We start from the raw sequence: 16,913 nt of genomic DNA, 5'->3' as shown, positions 1-16,913 counted from the left end.
CCAAATGTCTATCAATAGGTGAATGGACAAACAAATTTGTTTCTTTTTATTAAGCAGTATGCCATTGTGTGGATGTAGCATATATATATATATATATATTTTTTTTTTTTTTCATTCACAAGCCAAAGAACATTTTGGTTATTTCCAATTTGGGCCTACTATAAATAAAGGTGCTATAAATATTCATGCAGAAATCTTTGTATGAATATAAGTTTTCATTTATTTTGGGTAATCACATAGGACTGGGATTGCTGGGTTAATGGTATATTTAGCTTTATAAGAAACTGCCAAACTGTTTTCCAAAATGGTTGTATTATTTGGATCTCCATTAGCAATGTATGGGAGTTCTAGTTGCTCTGTATTTTAGCCAGCATTTTATATTTTCATTTTTTTGTTTTGTTTTTTTTAATTTTAGGTGTTGTTATGAACTCAATTGTGTCCTCCTCAAAATACATATGCTGAAATCTTAACCCTCAATGTGACTGTATTTAGAGATAGGGCCTTTCAGGAGGTAATTTAGGTTAAATGACATCACATGGGTGGGGCTGTAATCCAACAGAACTGGCATCTTTATAAGAGGAAGAAACACCAGGAATTCACGTGCACAGAGGAAAGGCCACGTGAGGCCACAGCAAGAAGGCACCACCTGTAAGCCAGGAAAAGAGGCCTCCCTAGAAACCAACATACTGGTTCTTAATTTTGGACTTCCAGCCTCCAGAAATGTGAGAAAATAAATTCCTGTTGCAGTCCATTCTGTGATATTCTGTTGTGATAGCCAAGCAGACTAGTACAGATTGTATAGTGTTATCTCACTGTGGTTTTCATTTGTACTTCTCTAGTGATTAATGATATTGAATATCTTTTCATGTGCTTATTTGCATCTTTAGCTCTTTTTATGAAGTATGTGTCTGCACAAAATTCATAACTCTGTGCACCAAAACCAATTCTAAGTACACTTTGCTCCACAGATTTCTTAATTCATTAGGATCATTGTCTTTACCATGATTCTGTGACTCACCAGCGTCTGTGTTTGGATGAATAATTTTTGCAAAAATTATGTTTCAGTGCTGAAAGCTTTCTTTTTCCCACAATGGACAGTTATACAAACTTTAATATAGTGATTACCTTTTATACATTTGATAAAAGTAACTTGTTTTAATTTATGAAAGAAAAATTTAATAAGCTATAAAAATCTCTGTGAAAGCAATAAGACAAATGTATAAAAATGATTTTATTTAGCTGAGTGTGGTGGCACGTGCCTGTAATCCCAGCTACTCAAGAGACCAAGGGAGGAGAATCGCTTGAACCCTGGAGGCAGAGGTTTCAGTGAGTCAAGATTGTGCCACTGTACTCCAGCCTGGGCAACAGAGCGAGACTCCATCTCAAAAAAAAAAAAATGATTTTATATCTTCTTTTTCCTAGGTGTTGACTTACTGGAACAGGAGCAAAATCTGCATTAGATGAGAGACTCTAAACTTCTCCATAAGTTGGAGTTCAATAATAATGTTTTTTAAGGTCATTGGAGACTTCTGTGAGCATCCATCCACCACAAATAACTCCACATCTGGGTTATCTGCTTTTGTTTATTTATTTATTTATTTGTGAGACAGAGTCTCACTCTGTCGCCCAGGTGGAGTATAGTGGTGTGATCTCAGCTCACTTCAACCTCCGCCTCCTGGGTTCAAGCAATTCTTGTGCCTCAGCCTCCCGAGTAGGTGGGACTACAGGTGTGTGCCACCATGACCAGCTAATTTTTGTATTTTCAGTAGAGACAGAGTTTCCCCATATTGGCCAGGCTGGTCTCGAACTCCTGGCCTCAAGTGATCTGCCTGTCTCGGCCTCCCAAAGTGCTGGGATTACAGGCATGAACCAGTTCACCTGGCCTATTGTCTGTTTTTAGATGGCCTATTTGAATTATGTCTGAACATGATACACCTGTAGCCTCATCAAATTTGTTTTTGTTTTGTTTTGTTTTTGAGACAGGGTCTCACGTTGCTCAGTCTGGAGTGCAGTGGCACCATCGCAGCTCACTTCCAGCCTTGACCTCCCTGGGCTCAGGTGATCCTACCACCTCAGCCACCCAAGTAGGACTACAGGCACACACTACCATGGCCAGCTAATTTTTGCAATCTTTTTGTAGAGATGGGGTCTTGCTATGTTGCCCAGGCTAAATTTGTTTCTCCAAATGTAGATATTAGAAAATGTGGGATTCGTTTTCATTGATTGTGAAAGTGCAAGTCCTTCTCTATGTTGTTGCTGACTACTGACAATGCTTTAAAATGCCCATTGTGTAAAGTAAGAATTTCTTGGAGATACTTAGCTCCTGCATTTTCTATTCTGTTAAAAGAAAAATCTACTGCTTCTAGGGTAATATTGCTTTTACATGAGCTAGATACATAATTCCATCCTGAGATATTTGATTGCAGCTGACATCAAGGTAGCATAGGCTACTGTTAAGATACATTGAATAACATATAATTGTTGTATACTACAGTTTTTTATATTATGCTTACACATGTGTAGTTGAACAAGGCAGTTATTTTCTTTCAACATATGGCCTACGTGGGCTGTGGACTCTTTCTGTTTGCCATACTGCATAGGTCAGTTTAGGTTTATTCCCTTAATTGCTTTGTTTTGAGTTAGTATCGTAGCAAATGCTATCACACTTTGCATTCCCAGATCACAGTAACCCAGACCTACTTTCTCTAAGGATGAATTAATTTGCAGCATTGCAGCAAAAAATATTCCACTCTTATTTTTAATCTTGTTTCCAGTCATTCTTAGGTATTTCAGAGTTGTGTTCTCATTTAGTGCTTTGCCAATCAATTCTCCACCTTGGCTGGGAGCAGTGGCTCATGCCTGTAATGCCAGCACTTTGTGAGGCCGAGGCAGGTGGATCACCTAAGGTCAGGAGTTCAATACCAGCCTGGCCAGCATGGTGAAACCCTGTCTCTACTGAAAATACAAAAATTAGCCAGGGATGGTGGTGCATGCCTGTAATCCCAGCTACTCGAGAGGCTAAGGAAGGAGAATTGCTTGAACCCGGGAGGTGGAGGTTGCAGTGATCCAAGATTATACCGCTACAGTCCAGCCTGGGCAACAGAGCAAATCTCTGTTAAAAAAAAAAAAGAGAAAGAAAAATTCTCCTCCTTCAGGCCCAGTATCATCAAACATAAGGTTTAAGTAAATGAGATTAAGTTATTTCTGAAGTAGTTTTACACTATAATATGTGCCAACATCACTTATGAGGTTATATCTAACATCCAAACTCAATATATAACTGATTATTTAAAAAAAAAAAAAAAAAAGAACTGAGATTGTGCAGTAGCACTATCATAGTTCATTGAAGCCTTGAACCCCTGGGCTCAAGTGATCCTCCTGCCTTGGCCTCCCAAATTTCTGAGATTACGGGCATGAGCCACTGCACCCAGGCTAGTTAACTATTTAAAATTCTAGAAAGAGGCCAGGTGCGGTGGCTCAAGCCTGTAATCCCAGCACTTTGGGAGGCTGAGGCAGGCAGAACATGAGGTCAGGGGATCGAGACCATCCTGGTGAACATGGTGAAACCCCTTCTCTACTGAAAATACAAAAAATTAGCCGGTTGTGGTGGCAGGTGCCTGTAGTCCCAGCTACTTGGGAGGCTGAAGCAGGAGAATGGTGTGAACCTGGGAGGCAGAGCTTGCAGTGAGCCGAGATCACGCCACTGCACTCTAGCCTGGGTGACAAAGTGAGACTCTGTCTCAAAAAAAAAAAAAATTTTAGAATGAATCCAAAAATCTTCACCTGTTACTCTTTTTACTGTCAATAAGTAATTATTAACAGCAATGTTTAATGTGTTTCCTTCTTCTAGTTACGCCCACTGGGGCCAATGCCAGAGCTGTGGCCAGAATGGGGGCCAGAGGGGATGAACCAGCCAGGGCAGAGGCAGCATCCTACCAGCTGCTCCACGTACTCCTCTCACCCCACAGGCTGCAGCAGCTGTGCCACCATTCAATGCTAAAAGTTTTGTTGTTGTTGTTGTTGTTTTATTTTTGTTTGTTTGTTTGAGACAGGGTCTTGCTCTGCAGCCCAGGCTGGAGTGCAGTAGCATGACCACGGCTCACTGTAGCCTCAACCTCCCCAGTTCAAGTGATCCTCCCAGCTCAGCCTCCCAAGTAGCTGGGACTATAAGTGCACACCACCATTCCTAATTTTTTAATTTTTTGTAGAGATGAGGTCTCACTGTGTTGTCTAGGTTGGTCTTGAATTTCTGGGCTCAAGTGATCCTCCCACCTTGGCCTCCCAAAGTACTGGGATTATAGGCGTGAGCCACCACACCCAGCCCTGAAAGATTTTTAAACGGAATTTACAAAAGCCTTTACAATAATGTTAGATATTTCACTTTAGGCAGAATAATGGCCTTCCAAAAGATTTGTTTTGATTCTAAAAATTGGATGAAGAAACTCTATTACTGAAATTAACTGATATTCTATTTTAAGTATCTGATAACACTGGAAAAAAAAACAGCCACCATTTAACTGTTTGCAAAGCCTTTCCTTCTGCTAATGGAGCCAACACCTTAATGCTTCACTTTTCATAAGTGCACAAAAGAAGTTTCAATAAAAATGGGCAAAATTAATTGAAACATTGATCTAATCCAAAGGTGTGCTTCACAAAGTGATATGTAAATAGGCTTTATACATCTTCATATTTTAAATTTTTGTCTCTGGGTACAGTCTTTTAAAATTAAGTATTCACTTTTAAAGTAGAAGCCAATGTTTCTTTAACTGATTTGTTTATTTTGGATTTTCAGTAGTCAGTGATATTACTATGGTCCCTATGGTGGATGTAAATAGTGGCAAACATGCTGTTCAAATAACACGTCCATCATTAATGTTCTTAAGAAATGGAAACGCAGTAATTTTTTCATTAAACACATATGTTATGGGTCAAATTGTGCCCCACCCCACCCCAACAAATTTGTATATTAAAGTCCTAGCACCAGTATTGCAGAATATGATCTTATTTGGGAATAGGGTCATTTTAGGCTTAATTAGTTAAGATGAGGTAATACTGGAGTAGAGTGCCCCTCTAATCCAATGTGACCGTGTCCTTACAAAAAGTAATTATGTGACGGTGTCCTTACAAAAAGGGAGAAATTTGGACACAGACATGAACACAAGGGAAATGCCATGTTAAAATAATGGCAGAGAATTGGGATGATAGTTTTGCAAGCCATGGAATGCCAAAGTTTGCCAGCAATTCACCAGAAGCTAGGGTAGAGGCATGGAACAGATTCTCTTTCATAGCCCTCAGAAGGAACCAATCCCACTGACACCTTGATTTTGGACTTCCAGCCTTCAGAACTGTGAGACAATGAATTTATGTTCTTTAAGCCACCCACATTGTGGGTACTTTGTTACAGCAACCTTAACAGACTAATACAATTGCTTACATTATTTTTAAGCTCATTATTGCTAAAAAGGCTTATTATAAAATAAAAATGCATTACCACTCAATAGTATAACTAAGCCATTTTATATGTGAATTGTGCAATGAATGACAAAACATAGTACTAAAAATTCCTGGCCAGGTGTGGTGGCTCACGCCTGTGATACCAGCACTTTGGGAGGCTGAGGTGGGCAGATCACCTCAGGTCAGGAGTTCAAGACCAGCCTGACCAAGATGGAGAAATCCCATCTCTACTAAAAATACAAAATTAGCTGGGTGTGGTCATGCATGCCTGTAGTCCCAGCTACTCTGGAGGCTGAGGCAGGAGAATCACTTGACCCCGGGAGGCGGAGGTTGCAATGAGCCCAGATCGCAGCATTGCACTTCAGCCTGGGCAACAAGAGTGAAACTTCGTTTCAAAAAAAAAAAAAAGTTCCCAGACTTCTCAATATACTTTTATAGTAGGACTGTGCCACCTTTATTCCCTGCATGTATCTCATGTACTTCTAACCAATGTACTTCCAACCAACAATTTATTATATTTCTCACTCATCTCCAGGGACTGGCAGACTGGTGGATATGTGCATCTTGCAAGCTAAAACACATGCCAGGCACAGGTCATGGCACAACTGGCTGATAAACTAAGTGGCTGGAAGGAACAGCTGTGTTAATTAATTACTTCACTCACTGCCACCTGAGACCAACTTCAGCTGATCCTTGCTGCTCATGTCCAAGTGAACTTTTCTATATTCACAGATTCCCTGAATGGGTATCTTCAAAATGGAGCATAAGTTATTTTATGTCTGGAAAGGGCTGGGGAAAGACTGATAACCTGATCACATTTAAGATTTAACATGCGCGTAGCTGAAGTCTCTGTTTGGTGCACTTACATCTCTCATACTACTAGAAGACACCGTGACAGAAGCTGGAAGTATAAAGTGAAGGCTTACCAAAATCATCTCAGATTATTAAAATGCATCTATTGCATTATTATATTTTATTTAAAATGATAATCATATTTTATTTAAAATGAAAAATCCAGGAAGATGCTAAAGTGAGCGGGCAGTAGGATATGTGGTCATTTTTTTTTTTTTAGACACAGTCTCACTCTGTCACCCAGGCTGGAGTGCAGTGGTGCAATCATGGCTCACTGCAGTCTTGATCTCCCAGGCTCAGGTGATCCTCCCACCTCAGCCTCCCAAGTAGCTGGGACTACAAGTGCGTGTCACCACAGCCAGCTAATTTTTGTATTTTTTGTAGATACAGTGTTTTGTCATGTTGCTCAGGCTGGTCTTGAACTCCTGGGCTCAAGCCATTTGCCCACCTCAGCCTCCCAAAGTGCTGGGATAACAGATGTGAGCCACTGCGTCCCACCTGTGGTCACCTATTTCATAAGGCTTTATGGTAGATTGTTTCCATAATCGTTCCAAGTGAAGTATGCTACCTTGTATACATACCAGTGGTATACCTAGTACATTTGACCCACAGTACAATTTTTTTAACCAAAATTTATTGGTAATGCAAAATAAACCATCATTCTCTTTAGGCTCTATAAAGATATGAGTCCCCTGTTACTGACTTTGCCTAAAATACAGCAAGCTTTTCTAATTTATAGGCTCAAATTGGTTGTTTTCTTTTTTTTTCTCTCAGCCACATTTTCCTCAGTTACATCTTTCATTTTCGTTTCTGTTCCCATTGTTCTCATTTGCTCCTCAGGCAATCCTATACTTATTAAATTTGATTTTTTTTTACTCTTCTCCATCTTTATCATCTCCTTTCTCATTATTTTAAGCTGTTTTTGTGGCTTTTTCTTTTTTTAGAAAATTTTCAGATCTGCCCTCTCCATCACAAATCCCATTTTCTTAGTACTTATTCTGTTCTTTACTACTTTCAAAGTAAACTTACAAATCACAAATATAAAAGATACTTAGGTCCCACCCCCAGATATTCCAATTTAATACTCTGGAGTGTGGCCCAAGCAGGTTTTTTTTAAATTGTGGTAAAATATACATGGCATACAATTTGTCATTTTAGCCTCTTTTAAGTGTGCAATTCAGTGTCATTAAATACATTTACATTGTTGGCAACCATCACCAGCATCTATTTCCAGAAATTTTTTCATCTTCCAAGCAGATAATTTTTAACAACTCCCTCTTTGACATGAAAAAATTATTCTCAGAAATAATCATAAAATAAAATGAATCATAATAATGATCAGAAAAGAAATATAGTAAAAATGTTCTTCTATTCAACTTTTATACAATACTGCCAGTAAAAAATAAAGAGCAAATATACACTAAAAAGCACATTGACTTATTTAATGGCTTTTCTGTCTGCCTAACCATTTGAACTTTGACTCTTTGGCTCAAGCAATCCTCCTACCTCAGCCTCCCAAAGTGCTGGGATTACAGGCATGAGTCACTGTGCCCAGCCTGATTTCTAATTTAGAATCTACTGTATAAATTCAGGAATAGGTAGTGCTATGGGGATTGGAGACAGGATCCAAGGGAGCTCAAATTATTCATAAATGTTGAAAATGTAATTTTGCAACCAACACAGGTAGCTGAGTCTATGTGTGTTGGAGGCAACTATATAATTGGAAATTCTCTGAATTAGCTACCATGTAGAATAAAACGTTTATTTAAAAAGTAATAAAAATGTGGCTAGGTGAGTGATGAAAACAACTCTCAGTGGAGAGGGGAGCTGGAAAGGGGATGGGAAGGGCAGGTCGCTCTCCCCTGAGGTTAAGTTACCTCTTAACCTCACGCCTGGTGGCTCACACCTGTAATCCTAGCACTTTGGGAGGCTGAGGCAGGCAGATCACTTGAGGTCAGGAGTTCAAAACCAGCCTGTCCAACGTGGTAAAACCCCATCTCTACTAAAAATACAAAACATTAGTGGGGCATGCTGGTGAGTGCCTGTAATCCCAGCTACTTGGGAGGCTGAGGCTGGAGAATCCCTTGAAACCAGGAGGCAGAGATTGCAGTGAGCCAAGATCAAACCACTGCAATCCAGCCTGGGCAACAGAGCGAGACTCCATCTCATAAAAAATAATAATCATAAAATAAAATAAAATGTAATAGTATCTGTAACAATTACTAAAACTAAACCAACAAAATAATTTTTCAGGAAGGAGTATGCTATCATTGCCATTATCTAGAATTAATGGCTCACTGTGCTAATAAAAATCAAAGTAATTTTTAGTAGGTTTTAGTACTGTTTCAAGATTCTCAATGGACAATACATCTGCTTAGTGCCTGCTCTTAAGATAGGCTGCTCTCATGGTCCCACCTTTGGCACATCACTGGTCCATACTTTGTTAGACCCCTCCCACTGATCCAATGATAGAGGCTGGAGGAAGAGAAATTCTAGGCAGACAGGGGCGGGTCTCTGGCAAAACCTCACCTTCCAGGTGAAAAGCCTGAAACCCAGCACCCAAAGTGAGAACTTGCATCCCTGTGTGCCTGCTCTTTCCCTCCCTATTGGTTCTTTCTGAATAATGTCTTTCTACCAATCAAATATTGCCTGTTCCAAAGCTATCTACGGCCTTCCCCACCGCATCCTGTGTCTGTAAAGACTCCAGACTCAGCTGGCAGAGGAGAGAAGTGGCTGGATGTTGGGAAGAAGCAAGTTGACCTCAGAGAAAGCAGCTGGATGTCAGAAAGAGGCAATTTGACTTCCGAAGAGAGAGACAGAGAGGTGACTTAACCTCAGGGGAGAGCAACCTGCCCTTGAGACAGAGAGGTGACTTAACCTCAGGGGAGAGCAACCTGCCCTTCCCATCCCCTTTCCAGCTCCCCTCTCCGCTGAGAGTTGCTTTCATCACTGAATAAAATTCTCCACATTCACCATGCTTCAGTTCGTCTGTATGACCTCATTCCTTTTGAGCACCAGAAAAGAATTCGGGATGCACTAAGCACAGGTACCCAAAAAAAGCTGTCATACTGGCCCTTTGCCCTCACTGGTGGAGGGAAGCTGCCCCATGTGACACTGCTGTTTGCAGACAGCAGAGCTAAGGGAGCATTGTAACACACCCTCTGGGGCCTTGGAGTCATAGGCACCCCAACCTGGATGCTGCCGTGGGGCCTGCATGGAGTTTGCTCCTGCTGGTTCCCACACTTGCTCACTTGAGCACTCCCTCCCCTGAGGAGTGGAGCACAGTAGACCCGAGAGAGTGGAGTTTGCTCCTTACGGCACCTAAGTTCTCCCACCTGTGAGGGGTTGAGCAGGGTGGGCTGAGTTAAAGGGGCACTTCTGTCGCAAGTCCTACAAAGGGGTCAAGAAAATATCCTGCAGCACCACAGTGACTCCAGGCTTGGCACTGTGATTTGCTTTGCCCTCTCTTACACCCTTGAGGTTGCCATATAAAAAAGCCTGAGCTAGTAGGCTTCATGCTGGAGTCATTTGGCCCAACCAACAGCAGCACTAACCGCCAGGCACGTAACTGCATTTTTCAGAAAATCTAGCCCCAGTCAAGCTACCTCACGATTTCAGTCACATGAGTAATTCCCAGCAATACCAATAGAAGAATATCTCATCTGAGTCCAGCTCGAGTTGCGTTGGCCCATAAAATTATTAGCAAATAAAATGGATGATGTTTCAAGGCACTATGTTTTGGGGTTGATTTTTGTGCAGCAATAGGTAATTAATATACCATTGTAAGAAGTTTGGTTTTTATTTTGAGTGAGATGGGAAGACATTCGAATATTTCGAGCCAGAGTGACATGATCTGACCTTTCAAGAAGATTACTCTGGTTGCTATGTTGGAAAAAAAACCACAACAACATAGGTAGCCAAAGAAAGAAGGAGGGAGACAATTTAGCAAGGTGATACAGTAAGCTAGTTGAGACATGATGGTGGCAGTCGGGTAGTAGCAGTGCAGATGATGAGAAATGGTCAGAATCTGGGTTCTAAATTATGAGAAAGTTTGTTGATAGATTTAATGTGAGGTGAAAGAAAGAGAATCAAGAAGTCTCAAGGATTTTTTGGCCAGATGATGACATGAGAAAAAGGGCAAAACTAGTAAGCTGGGGGAGGACAATAACATCAGGGATTCTGTTCAGGAATGTTAAGTTAGAAATACCTATAGACATCCAGTCTGCAGGACAATGATTCTTGATTTATATATGAGATATAAACTTCAGAGTTGTGAGCATAGAAATAAGATTGAAAGCCATGAGTCTAGATGGAATTTTCTAGGGATTTAGAGCAAATTGAGAAGATCCAATAACTAAATTCTGAGACAGACACTTCAATGTTTAGAGCAGCTGTTCTCAAAGTATGATCTGTGGTCCCATGGGGTTCCCTAAGACTCTTATATGGAAACCTGGAGGTCAAAACTACATTTTCATAATCATACAAAGATATTATCTGCCTTTTTTTTTTCTTTTTTTACTGTGTTGACAATCGCACTGAAATACAAAAACAATGGTGGGTAAATTGCTGTCACTTCAGCATAAATCAAAGACAGTGGTACTAAACTCAATTAGAAGTTATTATATGCTTCACCACTGTTGCTCTTGTAGTTAAAATGAAATGCCAACTATTGTTCTCGTAGTTTAAAATGAAAATGTAAGAATGCCTCTGAGGAGAGAGTAACCATTCCTGATGATCCTTTATTACACATCTATTTATTAACAATGTTCAGTGTAAAAACATGGAAACTTCTCATAAAGTACTTCTGGTCCAAAGTAAAATACTTTGATTGGCTCAAGGAAAGACACTTGTGCCATTGTTTGAATTGAAGGCTGGATGACTTTCTTTATGAAACACATTTTTTTATCTGAAAATCAACTAACAGAAAAATTAGGTTTATTCAAACTTGGGTTTTTGGCAGACATTTTCTTGAAAATAAACCAAGTAGGCCGGGTGCGGTGGCTCACGCCTGTAATCCCAGCACTTTGGGAGGCCGAGGTGGGTGGATCACGAGGTCAGGAGATTGAGACCATCCTGGCTAACATAGTGAAACCCTGTCTCTACTAAAAATACAAAAAAATTAGCCGGGCGCGGTGGCGGGTGCCTGTAGTCCCAGCTACTCGGGAGGCTGAGGCAGGAGAATGGCGGGAACCCAGGAGGCGGAGCTTGCCGTGAGCCGAGATCGCGCCACTGCGCTCCAGGCTGGGTGACAGAGAGAGATTCCGTCTCAAAAAAAAAAAAAAAAAAAAAAAAAAAAGAAAGAAAATAACCAAGTGACCTTGTCACTTTAAGGAAAACAACTGACTGTATTTGTTGCCAGTGATAACATTTAAACTTTCAAGCAAAAATTTTGGAAGATTTGCCTCTGTAAGCTTGACAGCTTCCCAATATTGTCAGGTGAGATCAGTAGTGATATTAGGAAATGTGATTTTTTGATATTATATAATGAGATGTGTCAACATTTGAAAAATCTGCATAATTCAGGGAACTAATATTTTCTAATTGACCAATGCATAATGTTACAAAATCATGAATGGGTAAAAAAGCCATTTAAAGTGCAGGATAGACAATAGATTTTCACATAACTGAGTACAAAAAGTTTACTGATACAGCTTTAGATTGCACTTTACAAGTGACCTTCAAGAAACTACCACTTGGAGTTCAAGTACAAAATCAAAGGGGGACATCCAAAATTATTTCAAAAGACTATTAAAATACTCTTCCTTTTTCCAAATATATTACCTAAGTTAGGTCAGATTTTCTTCATATCCTTCAACCCAAACAATGCATTAGAATAGATTGAATTAGAAGGAGAAATGACACTCCAGCTGTCTTCTTTTAAACTAGAATAGGAGTGGGCAAACCTTTTCCATGAAAGTCCAAATAGTTGATATTTTAGGATTTGCCTGCCATATAGTCTCTCTTTGTCACAAATATGCAACTCTTTCATTGTAGTGAGAAAGCTGCCACAAATACTGTGTAAGTTAATGAACATGGTTGTATTCCAATAAATATTTATAAAAACAAGCAGTGGTCTGAATTTGTCCAATAGGCTGTAGTTTGCAGAACCTAGCCCCACACTAGACAGTAAATACATTTTCAAAACTATAAAACAATACCAGTTTTCTCACTAATTTGTTTTGAAAAACAGTTTTTTTCATAAAAATTGTACATAGGTTTTGAAAATGTAGCTATTTTTTCATAAAAATTGTATTTCTGTTAACATGTAGTGGGTTTCTAATTATCATACTTAAACAAATTAATCAATAATTCTTTTCAAGTCTCAACTTTAATTTCTGATACAATCATAACTGATAGATAAAAGCCACATAACCAAAAGCTCTTTGAGAGCTTTAATAATTTTTAAGAATGTAAATGGGGCCTTGATACCAAAAAGTTTGAAAACTACTGGTTTATAGGCAGGAGACATGAGAAGAAATGAGTAAATGAGACAATGGAGGAGTGGCCCATTGAGGAAGGCAGACAACTGGAAATGGGATATCCTGGAAACCAAGTGAACAAATTGTTTCAAGGAGGAGAGTGTGAGACTAACTGTGTCAACTGATAATAGCATCATCAAAATGCTAATGGTAAGGAGGACCAGGTCCAGTGGCTCACACCTGTAATTCCAGCACTTTGGGAGGCCGAGGAGGGAGGATCGCTTGAGCCCGGGAGTTCGAGACCAGCCTGAGAAACATAGCAAGACCTTATCTCTGTAAAAAATAAAAAAACTAGCTTGGTGCTGTGGCACACCCCTGTGGACCCAGCTACTTGGGAGGCTGAGATGGGAGGATCACTTGAGCCCAGAAGGTCAAAGCTGCAGTGAGCCATAATTGTACCACTTCACTCCAGATACTGGTCTCAAAAAAATGCTAATGATAAGGAACCAATAGACAGGGAAATGTTAAGCTTCAAGAGACAGAAGGGCTAATCACTCACTGTAGGACACTGGAGAAGAGGAAGGCATCCAGGGCACTTGTCTTTGTCCATTTGGGTTGGGGAGGCCTTTGCTGAGGGTGAGAAGACCTCATCTACTGGCAAAGAGGACTAATCAGAATTTAGGGACTCAAGGTCCCCAGGTTCATCAGGGTCTACCCACATGTCCCCATTCCAACTTATAGGATTTCATTCTTTCCCAGTTGGTGCCTATACTTTGACAGTAGATACCCTACACTATAGGAAATAAGGCTGTCCTTTATGGCACACCTAGAAGCTCTTAGGTTATTTATGCTGTGCTTGACCTGGGAATTTAAATTCCTGAGCTCATCATTTTCTTTCATTACTTTATCCAGTGGCATTAGTAGCAACCAATCAACATCATTATATTTTTCAGTTTTACAAAAATATTTGAAACTATCATATACAGAGTTACTCACCTCCTTGCCTCTTATAAGGGGTTGATTAGGAATATCCAATGCAGATATTTTGCATATTTCTATAAACAATTCACAGCATGGACTATTAGTGCTTTCTTTACTACGGGAAATGAGATCCTGAGCATTTTTAGATCTAATCAGATTAAAGAGCCAGTTCCAGAACCCCAAAACCAATTCAGAAAACTCATTTAAAAAATTCTGTTCCTCTAGAATCACTCTTGTTACCAAAATCTGTATTAGTTAAGGTTCTCTAGAGAATTACAACTAATAAGATACATAGAAAGATAGATATATGAGAGGATTTATTACGGGAATTGGCTCATGTGATTATGGAGGACAAGAATTAGAATGATACGCTGTTTTGCAAGCTGGAGAACCAAGAAAGCTAATAGTGTAATTCAGTCTGAATCTCAAAGCCTGAGAATCAGGGGAGCCAATGCTGTAACTCTCAGTTCAAAAGCCTGAAAGCCAGGGACAAGTAGTGTATGTGTATAGGCGTTGCTGGTGTGAGTCCTGAGAGCCTGGAACTCTGGTATTCCAAGGCAGGGGATGATGGTTGTTTTGGCTACACAAGAAAGTGAGAATTTGCCTTTTCTTTGCCTTTTTGTTCCATCTGGGCACTCAAGGGATTGGATGGTGCCTGCCTACATTGGCAAGGGTGGATTATCTTTACTGAGTCTACTGAGCCGAATGCTAATCTCTTCTGGAAACACCTTCAGAGACACACCCAGAAATGTTTTATCAGCTATTTGTGTTATCACTTAACCCAGTCAACTTGACACATACAATGAACTGTCAAGGCACTGGTTGAAGAAATTGCTTTAAATGAGTGAAAAGTTCCCACTTCTGAAACAAGAGGTAGTAAATAAAGGATGAAGGCAGCTGTGGGCAAATTTATAGGTGCAGGAGCAGGAAACTAAGAGTGTTAATCTGATGGTTTCTATTTTCACTTTGAAGTAGGACTGAAGCATCTTTTGAAATGAGGGGGTGAAGTGTTTCGGAGGCTTAGAAGAGTAGGAAAAGTGAAAGGCTGAAGAAATGAGGAGAGAGAGCTGATGAGGAAAATTAGAGGGTTTCCAGGTAATGTTGACTTTTCAGGAGGGGTTAGAAATTGTGACTGTATTGTGGCACCAATCTATATGATTGATGGATTTTCTCTAGCAAATATTTAACAGCCCAGGTATTAGTACAGAGAAAGTAGACAATAAACCTGCTAGACCAGGAGTAGGCAAACTTTTCCTATAAAGAGCCAGATAGTACATATTTTAGGATTTGCAGGCTGTACAGTTTCAATCACAGCTATTCAACTCTGCCTTTGTAGTATAAAATCAGCCACAGATAATATATAAACAAATGAGCATGGCTGTGTTCCAGTAACACTTATGTTCACTGAAATCTGAATTTAACACGTTTCATGTCACAAAACATTACTCGTCCTTTGATTTTTTTTCAACTGTTTAAAAACAAAAAATTCTTAGCTTGTGGGCCATACAAAAATTGGCAGCAGGTTGATTTGGTCTGTGGGGTCCGTAGTTTGTAAACCTCTGCCCTAAACTATGTGGCAAATTAGAGAAAGGTACATGCTCAGGACAGATCTACCCCAGGACTCTGAGCAAAGCTTTAGTTTTTTCCCATTTGTCCCCTTTGCTGGGTGCTTTTGTGCAGTGCACAGACTGCTCTTATGCTTTCAGATTTGGGGGACTATCAGACCCCCAAATGATGGTTGTTTCGGATACAGCATGGAAAGTGAGGATATCGGCACAAAAATGGCTGAAAAGACGGGTCACTTTAGTGTTATCTGAATAGGGGTGGGAGGTAAGGTGGAAAGGTGCTGATAGACATCCAGTCAAGGGGATCAAGGGCCATTAAGTATTTTTTTTTCTTTTTTGAGACAGAGTCTTGCTGTTGGCTCTTGTCGCCCAGGCTGGAGTGCAATGGTGAGATCTCGGCTCACTGCAACCTCTGCCTACTGGGTTCAAGCAATTCTCCTGCCTCAGCCTCCAGAGTAGCTGGGATTACAGGTGCCTGCCGCCATGCCCGGCAAATTTTTGTATTTTTAGTAGAAACAGGGTTTCACCATGTTGGCCAGGCTGGCCTCAAGCTCCTGACCTCGGGTGATCCGCCCACCTCAGCCTCCCAAAGTGCTGGGATTACAGGCCACTGCGCCCAGCCCTATTAAGTATTTATGAGCTCAAGGAACCAATATAATAGGAATGATTGAGGGAAGAGTTGGAACATTAAAGTTCTAGAGAGGTATGTTGGAATGTATGAACTAAGAGTGAAAGAGTTTAGGTAATTTTACGATGTAGTGTGTGGCACATCCAAGGGGACAAAGTCTTTGATGAGAAAGAGAAAATGGCCACGTTGTCAGTAAGTGACAGCACCAACAGAGATTAGAGGTTGACACAGCTGATGTCGTGAACATAAAGAAACAATGAGAGTAAAAATGTAATGATCTGGAAATGGTTCAGGGACAAAGGGAAGATCAGTCACTCTAACTCATGCCTGACATTCTCTTGTCCTCTCCCTTCCAAAAATTAGCTCCCAATTTGCTTCTATACCCCAAGAATTTAGGTCCTTTAAGATCCTTTTCTTTCCTCCCAAAGAACTGGTCAGGAACTGGGAAGAAAACATTAGTGAAGAAATTTAGAGGTTAACATATAAGAAATAGAAAAGCTGGGGATGTGTATAAGTAGCAGGTTTTGCTTCATTGTAGTTACATATTTCAACTTCTGACTAGAATCTCCACTTGAATGAATCAGAGGCTTCTTAAGCTCAATATGTGCAAAATAGAACTGAATTTCCTCCTTGACATATTCTGCCTATGCTGCCAGGTAAACTCCTGCCTGCTTTTGTGTAACTCTCTCAGTAAAAGATATTACCAGACCCTCCCCTCACCCGATTCCTTCCATAGGTTTCCTTAGTCTGTCCAACTATCTTCATACCCAGGGCTACCCCTCTGCTTTAGGCTCTCATCATCTCTGACTTGGATTATTAGAACATCCTTTCAGTGAACTCCCTAATAACCCTGCTTTATTTAAATTTTCATAAGTTGTTCATCATGGTTTTTTTGCATTAATTTGATTTTGTAAAATATTGCATTAAAATTTCATTTATCTTGATTCCCAAATATTTTGGTGCCTCCTTAAGGTGTGCACAAAAAGCAAGTGCTGTCCTCATTTCACTCTTGTC

At 40.2% G+C, this 16,913-nt stretch overlaps 1 pseudogene, besides 1 other annotated feature; it reads right to left on the bottom strand.

The window, feature by feature from the left end:
* On the bottom strand, positions 2,170–3,308 carry LRRC34P1 (leucine rich repeat containing 34 pseudogene 1; annotated as a pseudogene).
* Positions 14,346–14,640: a silencer, noted in NCBI's record as "tiled region #5250; HepG2 Repressive non-DNase unmatched - State 21:Repr". NCBI's record gives its function as "represses a minimal TATA promoter and a strong SV40 promoter by Sharpr-MPRA in HepG2 cells {active_cell/tissue: HepG2}" and the evidence as "EXISTENCE:reporter gene assay evidence [ECO:0000049][PMID:27701403]".

Source organism: Homo sapiens, chromosome 12, assembly GCF_000001405.40.
Source record: "Homo sapiens chromosome 12, GRCh38.p14 Primary Assembly".
NCBI lineage: Eukaryota > Metazoa > Chordata > Mammalia > Primates > Hominidae > Homo > Homo sapiens.
The sequence above is the reverse complement of the archived record's forward strand: the minus strand, read 5'-3'. Positions and strand labels throughout refer to the sequence as shown.